Source organism: Homo sapiens, chromosome 6 (assembly GCF_000001405.40).
Source record: "Homo sapiens chromosome 6, GRCh38.p14 Primary Assembly".
Lineage (NCBI taxonomy): Eukaryota > Metazoa > Chordata > Mammalia > Primates > Hominidae > Homo > Homo sapiens.
Window position 1 is genome coordinate 92,750,455 of NC_000006.12, and position 4,965 is coordinate 92,755,419.

General features: G+C 37.1%; 1 annotated feature.

The window, feature by feature from the left end:
* Nucleotides 4,117-4,677: an enhancer, noted in NCBI's record as "OCT4-NANOG-H3K27ac hESC enhancer chr6:93464289-93464849 (GRCh37/hg19 assembly coordinates)". NCBI's record gives its function as "activates a minimal SCP1, AML or CMV promoter by ChIP-STARR-seq in naive H9 embryonic stem cells {active_cell/tissue: H9 hESC(naive)}" and the evidence as "EXISTENCE:reporter gene assay evidence [ECO:0000049][PMID:30033119]".

Below are 4,965 nucleotides of genomic sequence, written 5' to 3' on the forward strand. Positions count from 1 at the left end.
CCTTCAATTTTCTGGAAGAGTTTGAGAAGAACTGGTTTTTTTAATGTCTGGTAGAATTCAGCAGTGAAGCCAGTGGGTCCTGAGTTTTTCTCTGATGGAAGACTTTTTATTATACATTCAATCTCATCCTTAGTAGTTGGTCTGTTTAGGTTTTCTGTTTATTCTTGGTTCCATTTTATTATGTTTTATTTGTTCAGTAATTTATACATGTTTCACTAGGTTTTCTAATTTGTTGGCTTATAGTTGTTTGAAATAGTCTCTAATGAACCTTTTTATTTATGTAGTATCAGTTGTAATGTCTCCTTTTTTGTTTCTAATTTTATTTATTTGCGTCTTTTTAATTCTTAATTTGTCTAGCTAATTGTGAGTAAATTTTATCTTTTCAAAAACTAATTTTTTGTTTTGTTGATCTTTTAAATTATTTTTAGTCTCAATCTTTTTTTTCTGCTCCAATTTTTATTATTTATTTTCTTCTATTAATTTTGGGTTTGTTATATCTTTGCTTTTCTAGTCTCTTGTGGTAGATCATTAGCTTGTTTATTTGGAATCTTTCTACTTTTTGTTCTAAGTGTTTGTTGCTATTTAATATAAACTTCTAACATTAAACTGCTCTTTCTGTATCCCACAGTTTTTGATATGTTGTGTTTCTATTTTCATTTGTTTGAAGAAATATTTTAGTTTTGTTCTTAATTTTTTTTGATGCTTTGGTCATCCAGAAGCATATTGTTTAATTTCCATGTATTTGTACAGTTTTCAAGGTTTTTTCTGCTATTGATTTATAGTTTTATTTCATTGTGGTCACAAATCATACCTGATATGATTTTTTTAAGTTTGTTGAGACTTTTTTTGTGGCTAACACATGGTCTGTTCTAAAGAATGCTTTAGGTGTTGATGAAAAGAGTTTGAGATAATATGCTGTAAATGTCTGTTTGGTCTATTTGGTTTAAAACCCAGTTTAAATATAATTTTTTTTGTTGAATGATTTGTCCAGTGAAGAAAATAGAGTGTCGATGTCCCCAACTATATTTGTATTGAAGATTATCTCTTCCTTTAAATCTACTAATATTTACTTTATGTATCTGAGTGCTCCAGTATTGGGTGAATATATATTTACAATTATTATATATTCTTACATAATTAATTTTTCACTATATAATGCCCTTCTTTTTCTCTTATTACAGTTCTTAAAGTCTGTTTTATCTGATATACACATAGATACTCCTGCTTGTTTTGTTTTCTGTTTGCATGGAATATCTTTCATCATCCCTTCACTTTCAATCTATACGTGTCTTTACAGATGAAATAAGTTTTCTGTAGGCAGCATATACATATAGTTGAGTTAATGTTTTCACTCATTCCACTAGCCTATACCTTTTAAGTGGGGAATTTAATATATTTATTTACATTCAAGATTATTATTTATATATGAGGACTTACTACTATCATTTTTTAATTGTTTTCTGGTTCTTTTATGTAACATTTGTTCCTATTTTCCTCTATTATTGTTTATCATTGAGTAACTGAGTGGTGTTTTGTAGTGATAAGGTTTAATTATTTTTTCTTTCTTTTTTGTGTATCTGCTCTACTTTTAAGTTTTCTGTTTTGCAAGTGTTCATGATAATAATTACTGCCTTTTCACCTTCAGACAGAGGAATCCCTTGAATATTTTCTGTAAGTCTGAGTTAGTGGTGAATTCCCTCTGTTTTTATTGTCTGGGTAAGATTTAATTTCTCTCTTAGTTCTGAAGGGTATTTCTGATGGACATAGTATTCTGGGTTTTTCTTTTTTTCTTTTGACAATCTAAATGTAGACATTTTCTGCTGGCTTATAGGTTTCTGCATAAATATCTGGTGTTAGTCTAATAGGGATGCCCTTATATGTGACTTCACACTTTTGCTGCTTTCAGGATTCTCTCTTTGTCTTTGTCTTTTCACAATTTGACTATAATATGCCTTAGGGAGGACATTTGGAGTTGATTCTATTTGAGAACCTTTGCAGTTTGTGGATCTAGATGTCTATAACCTTCCTCAGACTTGAGAAATTTTCAGCTTTTATTTCATTAAATAGGTTTTCTATGTATTCTCTTCTCCTTCTAAAATTTGCATAATGTGAATATTTATTTGCTTAACGGTATCCCTGAAGTCTTGTAGGCTTTCTTCACTCTTTTTCATTCTCATGCCCATTTTTTCTCTAATTTCCAACAACCCATCTTCAAGGTCAAGATTCTTTTTTCTGCTTGATCAAGTCTGCTGTTGAGGGTCTCTATTTTGTTTTTATGTCATTCATTGAGTTTCTCAGCAGCAGGATTTCTGGGTTCTTTATTATTTCTCTTTGATGAATTTCTCATTCATATCATTGTTGTCCTGTTTTGTTATATTACCTATCTGTATTTTCTTGTATCACATTTAGTTTCCTCAAGATCATTATTTTGAATTATTTTTCTGACACTTCATTGATTTCTTTTTCATTGGGGTCTGTTACTAGAGAGCTATTATGTTCCTTTAATGTTGTCACATTTCCTTGTTCTTTCATCTTGCTTGTGTCTCTGTGTTGCTGTCTGTGTATCTGGTGAAACAATCACCACTTCCAAGCTTTCTATAGTAGCTTTTGCATGAAACAACTTTCACCTGCAGTTGGGTTTTACGTGGTGGTTGGGAAAGGTGCAATGACTCTTCTGGATAGATGCAGTGGTACAGTCTCTGTATAGCTTCTTCAGCTGTGTTTATCTGTCAGTAATCATTTTAGGTGCTTCATTGGCTTAGGCTGTTGAAGTTTGTGGCAGTTGCAGTGGCAACATAAGCTGTTAATGTCCTAGGTATCAAGGGCTTTTAGGGGCCTACTATTCTCATTTTCTCCACAATTAGAAGACTTATCCAAGTGGTCCTTCTTAGTGTCAGGTCTGACACAATCTGTAAGCAGCTACAGCAGTGCTGAATTCCAGGTGCAGGTTCTGACAGCAGCTGTGGGGCCAAGCTTCTAGGCTTAAACTCTCACGAGCCTATTATGGCGCCTGGGTCTTGGGGTACAGGTTAATTCTCTGTGCGCAGGGTGCAATGTAGATTGCCCGAAAACTAAGATCTGTGACTCTGAGGGATCCTCTAGCAACCAGGGAGTAGGTTGTAGCTCTGAACGTACTCTTGAGGGCAAAAGAACAGCACTGGCCTGACTTCAAGGAAGAAAGGGTACTCTGGAAGTTTGGGCCTGGGGACCTAGATATGGCTGCAATTCCTGAACCTGATCCAATAGGGTTCACTGGCAATTCAGGTTCTAGGGGCTGAAGCACTGTGTTTCAGTGACTCTAGATCCTGATATGGTGGGGCTCAGCAGTATTTCATCCTCTGTAAAGCCAAATTCAATGGCAGCAAGTAATCCAGGTTGGCAGAGAACAACTGTTGTTTGCACCCTGGAAGATCAGAGAACAGCTCACTGTGACTCCACTACCTGGGGAGTGGGGTCTCTTAGCAGCTCAGACTCTAAGAGGCTGGTCCACCTCCAATAAAGCAAACAATAGAGGTGTTTGGCCTGTAGCATGACATATCTCAGCTCAACCAATGCTCTGTTTCCCAGGGATGCAGGGCATTATGTCAGCACATAATGGAGTAGCCAGCTGCTCAGTTTGGCCTGGTCACCTGTTCCCTAAGGGTCAATGAGCCACTTTTACTCAAGCCTGTGGGGCATGACTTTTCTGTGAAGTACAGGCATCATTTTCCTGGAATGTTTGGCAACAGTTCCGCTTATTCTGGGTGTGCAATCATTCGGAGTAGGCAAGGCACTGTTTTTTGGAATGCAGGGTGCTGCTTCAACTTTTGCGCTAGGGTAGTATGACTGCTTTGAGTGGCCAAAGTATTATTTTCCCATGGGGCAAGGTACTACTTCAGCCGTGGCCTAAGTGGGGAAAGGCAAGGGGTAGGTGAAGGGGCTCCACCTCTAATTGGCCCCATGGAGAAGGCTGTAACAGCTGATCACAGCTCAGCTTGGGGATGTCAGGCCACAAGTCTGTTGAGGTTCAGTGGCAGCTTAGCACTTGGATGAAGGAAAGTCATGGCTACACACTCCGACCATAGTGTCACTTCCAAGATGGCATAGTGCAATAGGACATGGGCCACAGGGGTAGGACACAGTGTTGGCTCCTTCTTGGAGGGAGCACAGCCATGTGGACCCCAGGTAACTCCCTCAGCTGGACTTAATGCCAGCGAAGACTGCAAGCGGCCCCAGTGGTGAGGTTTGTAGGTGTCCAAGGGGTTGATGGAGGTTGCTGGGGTACTCTTGCTTACCTGGAGAAGTTCCTCCTGGTTCCCAGTTGATCCCAGCTGGGAGCTGGGATGATAAAAGCCTCACATTTCCGTCCATTGTGTATATGATCATCCCAAGTTTCTGTGCTCATCAGGGTTTCTGGTATTCCTCTGATTCACTCCAGCACTCTCTCAGTTGTTGTCATTGAAATGTAGTTTATTTGTTCTGGTTGTCTTTGTGATGGGGACAGTGCCAAGGGCTTCAAGTTGGCTATCTTGCTGACATTCTGTGTGTTTTTACGAAGGGGCTTTTTGTGGCTTCATATAGTACACTCTAATTAAAATACACTGACAACAAGCAGTCTCTTAGCGTATCAGAGCAGCTTATTGATAGGAATGCAGTAATTTTTCAATAACAGACAGCTATTCTGTTTAAATATTTTATCCATTCAAAGAGATACCATTTATCTTTCCTGCAAATTTAAACAATCAAATTATACTTCTGGAATCTTCATAGAGGGAAAAATAAATTAATAAATATATATATTTAATATATATACACACAATCAAATTAGAGAAAAAGATCAACAGATTTGGAATATGTCCACTTCCCCTAGGCTATATAGAAGATATCCAAGGCTAAAGTGAATCCTTTTGAAAACTACTTGAATCGAGATTTTTAATTGTGTTAAATAGTATTATTTATATTTTAAAAATAATTTAAAAGGCACTA